A 16,521-nucleotide genomic window follows, 5' to 3' on the forward strand; every position below is an offset into this window, starting at 1 on the left:
ACCAAAATAATAATTTTAATGCTGATTTCATGCTGGAATGATAATACTTGGGATACAGATTAAATAAAATCTACTAATAAAATTAATTTAATTTGGCCTTTTAAACTTTTGTATTGTAGCAAATAGAAATGTACATACGTGACTGGAAATTGCTATTCTGGGAAAATGATTTTGATATGGAAAAGATATTAGCTTGAGAAATTTGTACTGATCCTGATTTGTTTACAGATTAGCCTATTTAAAACTTCTAGTTCCATTGCCATAGTGGCAGAGCAACAGACTTTGAGAAAATGGAAAACATGACAGGCGAATGCTTCCATTGAAGGCAACACTTAAGAGTCTAGATTGTGGAACATTTCTTTGGTTTGGAACAGGCCTGCAATGCTGGGCCACTGTAACTAGTGACATGAATTAGATACACTCTGAGTGCTTCACATCTGAGTCATTCTTGTTTTCCTCTTTCAGTTAAAATTAAACAATACTTGGAAAAATGATATTCCCTTCTTCAGGATATCATAGTGGAAATACTATGAACCTCTTGATTTTGGAGACCTGGTAACATGTTTTGGCTCTTAACAGCACTGCCTATATTATCTTAAGAATGTCACTTCACCTCTCTGATTCTGTATTCTGCCATTTATAAAATGGAGATAATAATACTCCTCCCAGATTAACTAAATGTTATCTTATGTTAAATGAAATTCAATCCAGTGTCTATCATAAAAAGAGTTTAATAAATGACTTTCATTCTTTCTTTTCCTTCTCTATATAAAGAATACCTATTTATTCTTCGTAACTCAAATAAAAGGTCACCTTTCCTGTGAATCATAGCTAGGCACTTCGCCCCTCTATTTTCCATGAAACGTCATCCACATTTTAATTATTTGGTGCCATATCTGTTTCTCCCAGTGGACTCCTGTGAACTTCTTGAGGTCAGGGCCTTTCTAATTGAAACCCCAGTATTTAGCACAAAATCTGAAAACCAGACCGTACTCAAGATGTGTTGGATGGATAGAATAAGAGAATGGCTGGGTGTTTATGGCTCAGCCCTTGAAATCTTTGGGGCTGGAATACAAAGAAAGCATTTCAATGATTCTCTAAATAGTACTATTCCAGAAAGGTGAAGAAAGGAAAGTATAACATCTGTTTTTGTGTTCCATTTTTGTATGGCTTCCCATCTGGCAAGCAGTCCGTAAGGGACTGCACTATCATTGCTGGAAAAACATAGAAAATCAAATACTCTTGGCACCGTATCACTCCATGGCCTTACATAAAAAATAAGCCACTACACCAAGAAGCCACTACACCACTGTCTCTAAGCCTCACCTCCCTTTGCTAAGCATTGGCTCCACTCCCAACCATACTCCACAAGCCTTTCCCCAGCCAATCCTGTGCGCCTTCTTTTTCTGTGCCTTTGCTCATGCAAATGTTCCACCTGAAGTAATCCTTCTCTTCCTACTCGCACTTCTCTACTCTGCCCCCCAACTTGAGCCTTAGTAAATGCCATGTCCTTTAAGATACATTTCTAAGCCTGCTTCTGCTGTCTTCCCTATTCAAACCAATGTAAATGATCTCTACAGCCTTTCTCCTTATACAGCACATTGTTTGCAGTTCCATCTGGCAACTGAAAAGCTTTTCTTGATCCACCAGTTGTTTTTGTCAAACCCTTTAGAATACAAGTTCCAGGCTGGAAGGAACTAGATTCTATTAACTGTATCCATTGTGATGTCTGGTTCAGGGACTTGTACTTTATAGGCATTAAGAAATTTGTAGTACGACTGAAGTGAATCCCAGGATAAAATATTTAAGCCAGTGGATAGTATGACTTCCTAAAACTTCTTAGCATTTTGTTTTTACAGACATTAATTCTGATTCTATTTGCATATTATTTACCTGAGTCTAATATCTCATATCTTCTGATTCTTTTCAAACAGGGAATTCTAAGTTTCCCTTCAACAACAAAGAATGTAACCTGGACTCCACATATCTTGCAGGCAGTGGGCATCACTGAACCGTGTGAGGAATGAGAGAGGGTGGAACAAATTCATTGTTACCAAGAGCAGCAACTGGTGAAGATGTCAAGGCCTACTGGGCAAGGTAATACTTTAATGACCTACAAAATAAATGTTTTAAATTATATATTCAAAATTTGTCTGTTGAGGTATAGAAAAAATTACCTGTTTTAATAAAAGGTTGAATCCATTTATGTTTAAAAGGAATATGTTACAAACACTCAACATAACATTTTTAAATACAGTCATACCCCTCATAATGATGTTTTAGTTGATGACATATCACACATAAGACAGTGGCCCATAAAAGTAAAATACTGTACTTTTTGCTATGCTTAGATATGTCTAGATACACAAATACTTACCATTGTTTTACAGATGCCTACAATATTCAGTACTATAACATGCTGTACAGGTTTGTAACCTAGGAACAGCAGGCTATACCATATAGCCTAGGTGTATAATGGGCTATACCATCTAGATTTGTAGAAGAATACACTATTTTATGTTCATACAATGACAAAATCACCTATCAACATATTTATCAGAACATATCTCATCATTAAGCAACACATGACTGTATTTGGAGTTGTTGTTCAGTATTTATTAACTCCTAATTAGATATCATTAGCTAACTCTAACTCAGGATAGCTATAACTATAGAAATGAAATTTTAAAATCTCACTCTATGTAAACAGCATTATGTCATTCATTATTCACTTTCAAAATTTTATTTCATGCGATTATCAGATGACTGTCAAGTATCTACTGTGACTTTTGTGGCATAGCTTGTAGCAGTCAAAGGTAGAAACCTGAGTTAACTGGCAACAGTTATTTTTCTGGTTTATCTCAGCAATGTTTTAACTTGAAGATTGCTTGAAGATTAAGTCCAAGGCTACTTGCTGCCTGGCTGGCCAACCTCTTCAGCCCTCGTTGGGAGCCAAAGATAATGTAGTCAAGGCCCCAAACCTATTGATCTAAATGGTGATCAATGTAATTATTTGATTCTGTATGTGGGCCTGAACACCTAGCATTAGTTTCAAAAACTTCCACTATAAAATAGTCATGATAACATATTTACTTCTCAGGGTTGTTGTCAGTATTAAATGAGACAATTGTTTAGGACTATGAATAGAATCAATACTCACTAAACATTAGGCGATTACTTCACTAAGTAGGAGAATAAATGAGAAGTAGGAAAAAAAGCAAAGGCCACTTTATAAATGTGAAAGTGTCTAAGAAAACATCACCTGAACCTCAAAATGAAAACCAAGCAGTGACAGTCAGTGAAAAGGATTTTCAATCAGCCAGTTGTGGTTCTAAATCCCAGATTCACAATTTACAAGCTGAATGATATTAAACAGATTGCTTAAGTTTTCTGAGCCTCCATTTTCTTATCTATAAAAAGGACCTGATAAGGACTGCCCCATAGGTTGTGAGAATTAAGGGAGATAGCATATGTAAAGCCCTGAAATTTAATAAACCCCAAGAGGAAAATGTAAAAGGGTAAAATTAGTGCAACGTTTGTATATGGGCTGGCCCACCATAGCTGTTGATATGAAAGATGCTCTGTTTATTTTGTGATTCTCCCTGAAATAAAAACAGCTTCCCAGACTATTTTAAAGTAATCTAGCCAAGCTACAGCCATGCCACCTTGTTATCGCTGTTTGGGCCAGGAATATGTTTACCTGTTGAATTTTTTAGACAGGACATCAATAAACAGGCAGAGCACTTTGAAAAGCCGATTGTACCATGAGCAGTCCTCAGGGAGAAACAGAGTAGGCTAGATGGATTACCGGAATGCTGCGTAGAGGTCAATGTTGTTTGGAACCAGACTTTAAAGAGATCATGTCTCAATGCTTCACTGTGATAGAGTTCGTGAAATGTCTTTTCTAAAACACTCACAGCTTCTTCCTCCTGGGTCCTCACGATTCTTTTATAGCTCCAAAAAGCCTTTATTCTTTATTTTGTCCCACCCCTTCAGATAATCCCAAAGATATAATTAGCTTTAAATCTCACTAATTTGTTCAACCCCAGACCTTGGACATACTAAGTATCCAGAGAATGTTTATTGAATAAAAGAAATAATTTATTCAAAATACAATAACTATATAGTCATGATGGCAGAGTAAATTGGTATAACTTCTTTAAAAAACAACAGACAATTTATAACAAGAGATATTAAAATGCTTACTCCCCATGACCCTGTAATTTAACTTCTATGAAATAGTTCAATAGAAAAATAAAGCTGTATTCATGATGATGTTCTGTACTGGACAGTATTATTAGGAAAATTATAAATATTTAACAAAACAATTACTCAAGTAGATTATGGCATCCCTCATAATGTAATATTATGTCCACACTAAAAGAAATAATTACAAAGATATTATTACAATATTTTATGAAAGAAATTGGCAAAAGCAGTACCATATAAAATTTCAATTATGCTATGTTAATAACTATATAACATAAATATAACCTCATATAGCTCCTACAAAAGGAAGCAAAAACATGAAAAGTTGTTAATTCAGGGTAGTCCAATTACTGATATTTTCCTTGATGAAAATATTCTTTACTATTGTTTTTATTTTTTAACATTAAACAGAGGAGAAGAGCCTTATAACTTCTCCTGTTATACAAAATATTAAGTACCAGGAAAGCAGAATTAAGTATCATTGAGTGTGTTCCTGTATCAGACCATCACAGAAGCCATATACCCAGCATGGAAGTCATTATGCTTTGTGATGATGACTTACTTCAGTGTCTTTCTTCTTCACTGGATAGTAAGCTTTTTCAGGCCATGTGAAGGCAAGGACTATATATGTCTTATTTAGTGCTTATCTCCGGCATTTTTACAACACACACGTGGTAAGTCACATGCAATTTGTATAATTAATAAAAATAAGGAAGGTACATTGCCCAAAACATGTCATTTTCATACATTGGCTGTTACCAGAAAATACACTGCAAATTCATCTTTTTAGTTTTAAGAAATGAAATGGTTTAAACTGTTGTCATCTACAGCTGGTATTTTGCTGAGAGCTAACTTTGCTAATTCATAAGTGGAGTGACAAATGCACTAAAGGTCAGTAGAAAGCATACCATAGATATATCTTGTTTATTTTACAACCATGTGTAGGTATAGGCCCTTTGATTTGAACTTGTACTACTGCTCACTAGATCTAATATAATATATAATAAACAAGCTACAATAAAACAAGCATTAAAATCAACAAATCTTCAATTACTCAAATATGCATTTTACATTGTTTGTGACATTATGCATATAGATGAAAAGTAAACCATAAGAATATCAATTAATATTGAGTAGTTACTTAGAAAAAAGTTTTCTAAAGGATGTCCAGACCTGTCACAATCTTTCAAATATTTGATTTCCTACAAATTAACAATATAAACAATTATAGTCTTAGGAAATTTGAGTTTAGAGAGGGCTTCAGAGATGAATAATCTAATTTTACAAATGAATAAGTGGAGGATCAAAGAGGTGAAGTGGTCATCAATTGGTGATCTAATTCAGAACTCAAGGCCAATCACCACTCAGTGGCTAATCCAAAACTCAAATATTAGACTCGACTTCAAGTCAAAGACATTTACATCATCAATGAATTCCTGAGTGATGTCTCTAAAATATCACAAAATTTATTGTTATCAAGGAAATATTTGATTCTGCTCACGAAATTATATGTACTGAAGCAAGGAAAATGCCTCTGAGTAAAGAGACAAAATCCACACAAATCCCAATCATGGCTTTATAGTTATATCAATGAATATTTTTGGAAATAGGAGTAATAACAAAAATATACTTTTTAAAATCTTAACCAAAAAAAAAAAAAACATTCCGGCCGGGCGCGGTGGCTCATGCCTGTAATCCCAGCACTTTGGGAGGCCGAGGCAGGCAGATCACGAGGGCAGGAGATCGAGACCACCCTGGCTAACACGGTGAAACCCCGTCTCTCCTAAAAATACAAAAAAAATTAGCCGGGCATGGTTGCGGGCGCCTGTAGTCCCAGCTACTTGGGAGGCTGAGGCAGGAGAATGGCGTGAACCTGGGAGGCGGAGCTTGCGGTGAGCCGAGATCACGCCGCTGCACTCCAGCCTGGCAAAAAAAAAAAAAAAAAAAAAAAGACATTCCCTCAGAATTTAATTGCAGATTTATTTACATAAGGTTTCACTTGGGAAATTCAAACTTTCATAAAGTCTGTTCCCAATGTTATGCTGCTACAAACATAAGTTAAAGAAAATGAAAAAGCTGATTTAAAAAAACTGAAACGTAATTTTAATAACCACATCTTTTAAAACCTTTGTGCCTGGGAAGATAAAATAAAACTAATTTCTAGGTGATTTTTCAAGCAGTGAGCTTTGAAAATTATCCTCCTAATATACAAATTCTTTGATTTCTAGTGGTCACTATTTGATTGGAAATAGTACATATTGTGCAATTTACAAACCAAAGACATAGCTAACTCATTTCAAAAGATTACTTTGAAGACATTTACTTAGAATCATTTCTAACGTTCAAAGAAATAATATCCACATGGAACTTGGATACATATTTCTCTGTCAATAGGATAATTTGCCACAAGCAATTACAAAGCATACATTTAATGTAATACTGTCTTCAGAATTTTCAGACCACTAAATCAGTTTCCCTTGTCAGTTCCAAAGGTGTGAGGTACAGGGATGTTTAAGACCTATTAAGCTTAATGACCCTTCCATCTTGTTAAAGAAAATTAAAGGACAGCTTTCTCAATGAGACTTTTACATTTAAAATGATGAAGGACCACTAAAGACAAATGATTTGCAGAAAGAATAGTGCATGAACATAAAAATTTTTAAATTCTTAGAGCTGTCTCTATAAACAGCCAGTTACAACTCTTTTTCAGGTAATTTGTATAGGTAATATTAAACTATGTTTGGATGTTTCAGCTGGCTTTAAATGAAAGTACAGATTTGATATTTAAAAGCTTGATTTTGAAATAATTTGGAAATAAATTATTATTGTGTTATTATGCAAATTATTTAAATAAAATAAAAATTTTGATATAAAACCAAGCAGTTATTTTCTGCTTTGTAATTCTGTATCTTCAATAGCATATTAGAGAAATATTTATATAATTAAACACAAAAATATGGCTACTGTTTTTTAAACTATACTTTTTTAAATTTATGAATTTAATAATTTATTCTTTAATCTGAATTCTAGTTTGGTTTTACTAGCTCCATGTTTTCCAAAACATAAATATGTAAAGATAGAAATTTACAAAGAAAAACTGGGTTCCATGATCCATTTAACATATTCTGGCTAACATTAAGTAAGCTAGTTTACTGCAGAAACTTCCCATGACTTTTAACATGCTAATGTGCATTATGAATCTGTACTGGGGGCTACTGTATAAAGTATTTCTTTAGAAGAGTTGACCACCCTCTCCTTTTTATGATGCATCACTCCAGACCAGAATTTGCGGTAAACATATTGATAAATACGGATTTAATTACAAATCATGAAGTGACTTTTTTCAGTCTTTATGGTTTCTGGTAAAACCAGATATTTATGCATGTTTATGTGTGTTTATGTGTCTTTGTATATGCATATACGGAAATTTACTTTCCCAGGTATGGCAGAAACTCTCAGTTCTTTATGTCAGTTATCAATTCTATCCTTCTTTAGTAATGAGTGTCCAATTTTTAGCAGTGTACACTGTCACCTAGAATAAAGCCTATGTTTACCAGCCAGCTATGTGATATGTAAGAACTATGACATGACAGCTTTTGAGAAATCTTAAAAGATACATAGTATGTGCTCTTTGACACCCCTGTGTTTTTTCTTCCATGCTGCTACTGTAAACCTAGATGTACTGTGTATCCAGAGCAGGTACATGCTGCTGTGGCATTTCCTTTCCATTCACCACTCCACCATCTCTAGCATGTGATTGTCATTCTAACAGCTCAAAATGCCTTCTTGTTCTGAAAATTACCTTCTCCTCTGAAGAGGAATTAGATTTTCAGCAGGACAATAATACAGTCATGTGTCTATATTATAATGCAGTTTCGTGGACTCCACTGGGTTAGTAAGAGTCTTGCTCCCTGAATTTGTTAACCAATTGTATGGAAAGAGTAGAGTCTTGAAAGCTGAGGGATTAGAATGGAAGCATGCTGAGGGGTTGACTTACCAAATCACATCCTTGAGCATCCCAGAGATGGCCTGTTTTTCTACTTTCTGAAGCTTGGCTATGCAATATGTTTTTGGATTTTCTTTTCCTGCCTGAAGCAGCCAGAACTGGTTTCTGTTACTTCTAGCCAAAAAAACCAATTACCCCTATCAGCTTTGATTAAGATACAGTGAGTTTGAAGGAAATACAACATAAAGAGATTGCATTTGTAATGCTTAATTTTGTATGTCAACTTGAGTGGGCCATAGAGTGCCCAGATTAAACATTATCTCTGGTTATGTCTGTGAAGATGTTTCCAGATAAGATTGGCATTTGAATCAGTACGATCAGTAAAGTAGATTGCCCTCTTCAATGTGGTTGAGTGTCATTCAATCCACTGAGGTACAGAAAAAAAAAAGTTAAAGATGGACAAATTTGCCCCCTTTTATTTCTGCCTCACTGCTGAGCTGGGACATCTCATCTCATCTCCTCCTGCCCTCAGACTGTAATCTACACCATGGGCTTCCCTTGTTTTTAGCCTTTGGACTTGTGCCAAATTACAACACTGTTTTTTCTAGGTCTTCAACTTGCAGACAACAGATCATGAGACTTCTTAGCCTGTATAACTGCGTCAGCCAATTCTGCATCATAAATGTCCTTTTATACATTTCTCACATTGATTCTGTTTTTCTGGAGAAACTTGACTGATACAACAGCTAACAAACCATTGGTTAAACAAAAACAAAATTTAAGAAATCAAACCAGAAAACATAATTAGGGGGTATTTGTACTGACAATGCAATTCAAATCCCTTCCTACTCCCTTTCCCAATACTTTCCAGTAATCCTTGAACTCATAAATAAAAAACTCTATTATTTCCAGTGCATACTAGCAGGTTTTCCTGTCCTCATGCTCTCCCTCTTCATGAGCACCTGCCAGGTTACCTCCCCCAAACTTTGTATTCCTTATTTTAGTCAGAAAACATCAATGTTTCTTTCTTGCCCATCAAATCACTTTCAAACTCACCTCTCCAATTTCCAGTATTTTCATTACCTAATCCTGTCTTAACTGTCTATTCAAAAAGATTTTTCGTCAAATTCCTGTTGATAGGCATGAAGAAAGTTAATTATCACAGTATTTTTAATTTTTTTAATCCTTGGCAAAAAAATAATTTCACTATTAAAAATTATTCCTAAGTCACATAAAAATGTGTACATTTTTGTTTAAAAGATACATTCCACATATTTGCAGTAAGTATGTAATTATTGTAAAATCCTTGTGAGAAATCACTGTTAAAATTTCTTGTAATTAAGGTAATAACTGAAAAGAGAGAGTCACCTGCTCATTAAAATTTCCTTATGTGAAATAATGGCCTGTATTTTGGATGTCATCACTGTCGATCATTTCTACCACAGAAGAGGTTATACACAGGAGAGATAACATCTCTCCTTTTCTTTAAAACAGCAAAGCTCTTTGTATCAACTCTCCCAAAAATGTGATGGTCCAAACTCTCCAACTTGAAAAGCAGAGCGCTAGAGCTGAAATCAATTTAGCAATATCTGAAAGCTGCATAATAAACTTCTGTGGATCGGATAAAAAGTTGGTAAAAAAGCATCTGACTGGTCTCCAGGTCCTTTTTATTTTAAATTTTTGCCCCACTTATATTTTTAAAAACTGAAGTTAGTCTCGGTTTAATAAAGAGAATCACCCCAATTTTGACCAGTACCTAATACACCACCCCACTTTCATTCCGAGTCAACTCTAGGAGAAAAGTAATTAAGGTAATTGCTCTGCACCTCAAGCTTTTCAGTATTAGGATCTCATCAGTATTAGGATCTTACCTAAAAAAAGGGATAGAAACTCTTATGGATTCATTCAGCCCACTGATCTATCAACTTCACTAAGACAGTACTGTAGAGATTCTACCATTGCTCCAGCTTTCTAACATAGCAGCTATTTTAGTTTTTTGTTTTGCTTTGTTTCCTCCCCATTCACTGCTAACCTTATCAGTTTTAATCTGTTTCTAAAATGATGAAACAAATCAGGTCATATTCTCTTGGCCATGAAATAGATAGGGCTGGCTTTGGAAGCTCAAAACTTCCAGAATTTCTAACAATTTCTGGAATTTGTTGTGTCCTTGCCCAGTTTATAAATTCATTTGCACCTCCAGTCATTCTTCATGTTGTTCCTTACTAAACACCCTTATTCCACCATCCAGCTGTGACAGTCAGACTAGTCCTTCAAGCAGAAATTTTCATCACAACCCTTCCTAATCTCCCCAGTGCATATTGGCTTCTTTCTGTTTCATTATTCCATTGCACTTAGAGGAAGTACCTCACAAATTAGCTTTATTACTCAGTTTTATGCTGTTGTTGTTGATGTCATTTCTGCTTTCTTTACCAGATTGTAAGCTCCTAGGTAAAAAATCTAGACACCGTCTTCTTAAAGTCTACTAGGAGACCACCGCTCAGTCAACGTTTCTTGATTGCACAATAAAAGGCGATGCTTTTGTCATCCTAGTCATTAACATTGCTTTCTTGGCAAGCCACATTTGCCTTCCCACTTCATGGCCAGCGCATGTTCTGCATGTTACATCTGTTTGGAATACTCCTTATCCTACATTTGATGTAGCTAACCACTCCTTCCTCTTCAGGTCTCCAACAGGGTCTTACTTTCTCAGACAAGCATTTCTTAAGCCCAAAACCAGTTTCTTTAATTCTTGACTGTTGCATTTTTTTACAATTGTAATTGAATAATTGGAAATTAGTTAATTACTGCTGTTCGGTGGTCCTCAATTATGGGTGATTTTGCCCCCATAGGACATTTGGCAATGTGTGAAAACATGTTCGCTTATCACAACAGGGGTTGAGGGAGGCTTGCTACTGGCATACAGTGAGTAGAGGCCAGGAATGTTGCCAAACATCCTACAACGCACAGGACAGCCCTGTACAACAATCATCCAGACCAAAATGTCGTAAGAGCTAACGCGTAGAAATCCTGTCTAGCTCAATGGTATAATGTCACACCAAATGAGTGCTTTTACATTCACTGTCAAGCTGTTGAAAATATTATGAGACTCAGCTGTATAAAATTCTGAGATATTGAGGATGTTATCTACCATATTAAACACTGTTCTCTTTGAGGAAAAAAAGCTTTTTTCCTCAGGAAAAGTCAAACCTTTTTATTCAATGAGTCTTTTAAATTATTGTTTTTCTCTATGTCATTGGCTGCTGGAAAATTAGATCCGAATTTGCCGCCCACCTGTAACAATAATATATGAATATATGGTATTAATTCATACTGATTTTATTCCTGGTTTTATTACTTTCTATTTTCTTTTATCTAAATTTATTCAGCTGTTTCTTTCCTTCTGCCAGGTGTATACAAATCCATTTTTCAGATTTAGACTTAGACATAAATAACCCCCTATCAAACTCAAAGGGGAACAGCTTGTCAGTAAACAATATGCTTTGGATCAATATAGCTTTCAGACAAATAAGAGAATAAATTTATTAATATTTACAGAGTCACAGAATAATAACAATAGCCTAAATATGAAGTGATCTGGGAGGTGATATATCTAAATTTTTCATTTTATAGTTGAGGAAAACTGATTCAAAGACATTAAATGCATTGTCTATGTTTACACAGCAGCACCAAAATTGTATTCAAGTACCTTGACTTCTATTATTCTAAAAGATATTTGCATGAATAAACAGTAATACAAATCTCTGCTCCCATGTACTTCAGGTACCATAGGCTTGTGGGCAGTACAAGCAACTAGCACTTAGGAAGTCAAAAGTTTTAACTTGAAAATACCTGTGATTTGTGTAGGAAGAACATGACACCAACCACTTTAGAGTTCTGATGCCTTAACCACCTACTTCCTCAGCAGAAAATTACAAATTACTATGCTACTAACTTCTATAACATCCTTGGAGAAATAATATATTTAAATGTATAGATTAATGTCTGATCCTGAGAAACAGGCAGATGCAACTGTCTCTTAGAGGTCTTCTGTGAGCAGCTCACATATGTCTAAAATTCATGTCTCCTTACTTAAGACATGCAGAGCATGGATTACTACCTTCAGTAAAATGTGATTAGTTATTCCACTTTCACGATGTCTCTCACACAACTTCATGTTTAGTGTTTCTTTTCACTAACTTGTAAGATTTTTTTTTCCACTTTTGGTTTCCATCACTGAATTAGTCTTCTCGTTAATTTCTTCTTCAGTTTTGCATTAGAAAACAAAGAGTTCAAGACTTGTCCTCGCCACTTTTCTAGCCTTTAATTTACAAATATGTTATAAAGGCAGGAACTGGATCAGTTTTCTTCTCTACTGTATTTCCAACACAGAGTCTTACAAAATAGGCACTCGGTGAATAGGTACTCTGTATACAATTTGTTTTTTGGTTTTTTGTTTGTTTGTTTGTTTTTTGAGATGGAGTTTCATTCTTGTTGCCCAGGCGCTGGAGTGCAATGGCACAATCTCGGCTTGCTGCAACCTCCGCCTCCTGGGTTCAAGGAATTCTCCTGTGTCAGCCTCCTGAGTAGCTGGGATTACAGGTGCGTGCCACCATGCCTGGCTAATTTTGTATTTTTAGTAGAGATGGGGTTTTGTCATGTTGGCCAGGCTGGTCTGGAACTCATGGCCCCCGATGATCCACCAGCCTTGGCCTCCCAAAGTGCTGGGATTACGGGCGTGAGCCACCACGCCCGGCCTACATTTTTAAGTTTTGAGTGAAACACTTAAAAATGTAGACAGAATTCCCATCAGTATTTTTTATTCCATTATAAAATAAGCAAGCTTGAGTTAGGTTTCTTCTAAAAGTTTGTCCACAGTTGGGGAAATCACCCATCATATTAATTTTTGCATCCAAGCTATGAATCAAATTTCTCAAAGAATGAAGTGCCAAGAAAAATTATTTTTAAGACATATATGTATGTCTATATAAACCATAGGCTTTATGATTAATATATGTTTATATATAGTGTTAGTAACTATCTTTTAAATTCTTGGTATTATTTATATTCAAAAAATTTCAATATACCTTTTAAATCTTAATGGAATAAAATGATCTATGAATGTATTTTTTAGCTTTGCCTTACTAATTTTTTAAAAATTTGCCCTGAATTATTTCCTATTATGTGATATTAAAGATGTTTTAAGTGGCAATATATTCTAAGCAGTTTATTTTTAGTCCTATAAAAAAGGAAACTGGATATTTCCTATTTTTTATGTTTTATTTCAAGCATAAGATATTTGAACAAATCAGAAGTAAAAAGAATATAGAGGGTTCTTTCCCTATTTATAAAACTGTATCCTTCGAAAATGTGCCTTGGCTCTAAGAACCTGTGGAACCAGTGGGCTTTTGGTGCCTAAATTTTACCATATATCCTCTAAGGCACTGAAAATGTGAGAGCGCATTGCCTAATGGGGAGCATTTCATTGATTTATTAGTAGCTGAACACATGCCAAGACATCCCTAGGATGCTCCTCACCCAACCCAAGGTGCTTAAATAAAAGCTGGACTGGAGAATGTGGCTTAGAACAAAAGATTCTGTGTTCTCTCAAAACGAAGATGAGCAGAGCTGCTTAACCTAAAAATTCAGAAAGGAAATGAGCATTCCCTTATAAGTCTGAACTTTGGTTTGAAATTTGGGACACACTAATCCCAACCACTAATAAAATGGAGCTAATTAATCCCCATCTTATGACAATCAGACTGGCCGATTCTTCCTCTAGAACAGGCTTGGAGGAGAGAAGGTGGCCAAGAAGAGGGATTAGCAGAGGGGTAGAAGACTAGGAACAGGGCTGAAAGTGTCAGAAAAGGAGCTAAAATATCCCTTACATCAAAAGAGATGAAACAACTTATGGAGAAAAGTGGTAATCATGAGATGGTAAGTTTTTTAAAAGACGTAAACAACTTTAAATTGCTTTCATTTCAAAATAGGCAGCCTATATAACAAACTCCACAAATTGATACTAAATAATGTTGCAGGACTTTTCCTTAGTTCATCTAAAGATGGGGTCCTTGTCCCACAGCCATGAAAATTTAGGCTTCCAGACAATTGAAAGTGAGAATAATGGGATTTATTGGGCAAAAAAGAAAAAAGAGGGAACAGGGACTGTCTACAAGGCCAGAGCTCCTGCTAGCGCGCTTCTCATCTCGTAGTTTGAATTCCAGGTTCCACACAGAAAGCGGAAGGACCAGGCTCCTCCCGGCTGCAAACAGTGCGAACTTTTGTGGGTCCACCCCAGTGTGCGTTCCTTCCAGTGCGCAACCTGGTTGGAGTTTTTCCGGGGACCCCCTCCCACCCAGCTGCCTCAATAATAAGTTGATGATAGGACTTGTATCCAAGATTCTAAATAAAACGTCACTATCCTAGTATCTTATTAGCAAGTATTCTTTTTTAAATTCCTATTACAAAACTTGTATGAAGAAAAACTGAATCACTTTTATTAAACAAAACTAAAGCATTTATCTAATTTCACATTTCTTGATGGTTTGATTCAGAAGCATGGTCTTTTGATAAAATGAAAATAATAACCCACTTTTTAAATTTATCCACCTAAACTGACCGTATGAAAAATACTTCCAAACCTCCATTGATCATATAGAAATAAAAAGGACATTTAAAAGATGGATTTAATCCAAAGTGAAATCAGTTCAACAAGTTTCTCCATGTAAGCACAGGATGAAAATATAGACTGAATAAATTATTTTTTCTGCCAAAAAAAATCAAATCTTTTATTGCAAATAGTAACTTTCAGGAGGCCAAAATTTGTTGCAAAAATCAAACACAATTTTAAATGTTTATATCTCACCATTATCCAGTTTTAATTGTTTTCCTTTCAGAAATGTAGATACAAATTGTATATATTCCATCTTCCCAATACAATTTTCCGATCATGTTGTCTCCAAGAAAAATACTCTTGCAGACATAATTCTGCATATATAGTATAAGGTCTTGCCATAGCCATGTATTTACATCTTTAATTCATAAAAAAAAAAAAAAAAGAATCCGCTTAGAATGTCTACTAAGCAAACTACAGCTAAAACTATTGGGCAAAAAATAAAGCTAAATAGCTAAAACTAAATGTTACTGCTCTAAAGAAACTGCTTTTCTTATATAAGCAATGCATTACAAATATTTGGCATTCTAGAAAATAAAACAAAAAGTTTTCCTTTCATTTCTACTTCAGCTATGCTTCCATGTAAGATTTTATTGCATAGTTTAAGAGTAGGTTAGCACTTTCGTTATTAACCACATTTTTCAAGAGTTTATAACAGTGCTGAAATTTCTTTTCCACCTTTCTTACTTGATATTGCAAGAAAATTCAATTATATGTTTGGAAATTCAAGGAGACTCATTTTAAGTGTTTTTATATTTCTCTTTTACCATTTTACATTGAAACTCAAACAAACTTCTTCCAATAACACAAGGACTGAAATTTCAAGATGACAGGAACAATCAGGCTTATTTTATTCTCATTACATAATCTAAGTTTTCTATTTTAAAGAAATAATTTAAGCAAAGAAGGTTGAAGAGTGATCTCAAGAATTATGTTTTTAAGTTTTTATGAAATAAAAATTTTCCTATCATCCTTTCTTTTCCCTTTCAGCTAGAATGACAAGATTGTTGAATCAACAGAGTGGTACAAAAAAGAATAACTGCCGGGTGCAGTGGCTCAGGCCTGTAATCCCAGCAGTTTGGGATGCCGAAGCAGGAAGATCACTTGAGCTTAGGAGTTTGAGACCAGCCTGGGCAACATAGTGAGACCTCCTTTCCACTAAAAATTTGAAAAAGTAGCCAAGCGTGGTGGCACGTGTCTGAAGTCCCAGCTACTTGGGAGGCTGAGGCCAGAAGATCGCTTGAGCCTGAGAGACTGGGCTATACTGTGCTATGATTATGCTACTGTATCCCAGCCTGGGTGACAGAGTGAGACCCTGTCTCCAAAAATAAAAATAAAAAAAATAAAAAATATATAGAAATTATTTTATACATTTATAAACAAATTTATTATTTATAGAAATATGATATAGTTTGTGAAAGATCCTCAGCATATTTCAAAAATATTTACTGATCGCATTTGACTCTTTGGAAATATAAAATCCTATTTCTATGAATACATAATGTTGCATATTCTTAATATCCATCAGAGTTTATGCCCCAAATGTGTAAATATCACTTTCTAATAACTGTATTTGATTATTATGACTACAGAACCCTTTATCTCTTTAATGAGTTACTGTTAATATCATTAGATATTACCAATATGCACCTTAAAAACGTAAAATGCTCATGTATCCATTTCAACTGAAAAAATA

At 34.9% G+C, this 16,521-nt stretch overlaps 1 long non-coding RNA gene across 1 annotated transcript; it reads left to right on the top strand.

Annotated features, from left to right (window-relative positions):
* Positions 1–1,286: 1,286 nt before the first annotated feature.
* LOC107987027 (uncharacterized) lies at positions 1,287–15,910 on the top strand. The gene is made up of 3 exons (XR_001746564.1): positions 1,287–1,563; positions 1,995–2,097; positions 15,816–15,910. It is a non-coding gene; the product is annotated as an uncharacterized LOC107987027 (long non-coding RNA).
* The last annotated feature ends 611 nt before the right edge of the window (positions 15,911–16,521 follow it).

The sequence above is a fragment of the Homo sapiens genome, chromosome 9 (assembly GCF_000001405.40).
Source record: "Homo sapiens chromosome 9, GRCh38.p14 Primary Assembly".
NCBI lineage: Eukaryota > Metazoa > Chordata > Mammalia > Primates > Hominidae > Homo > Homo sapiens.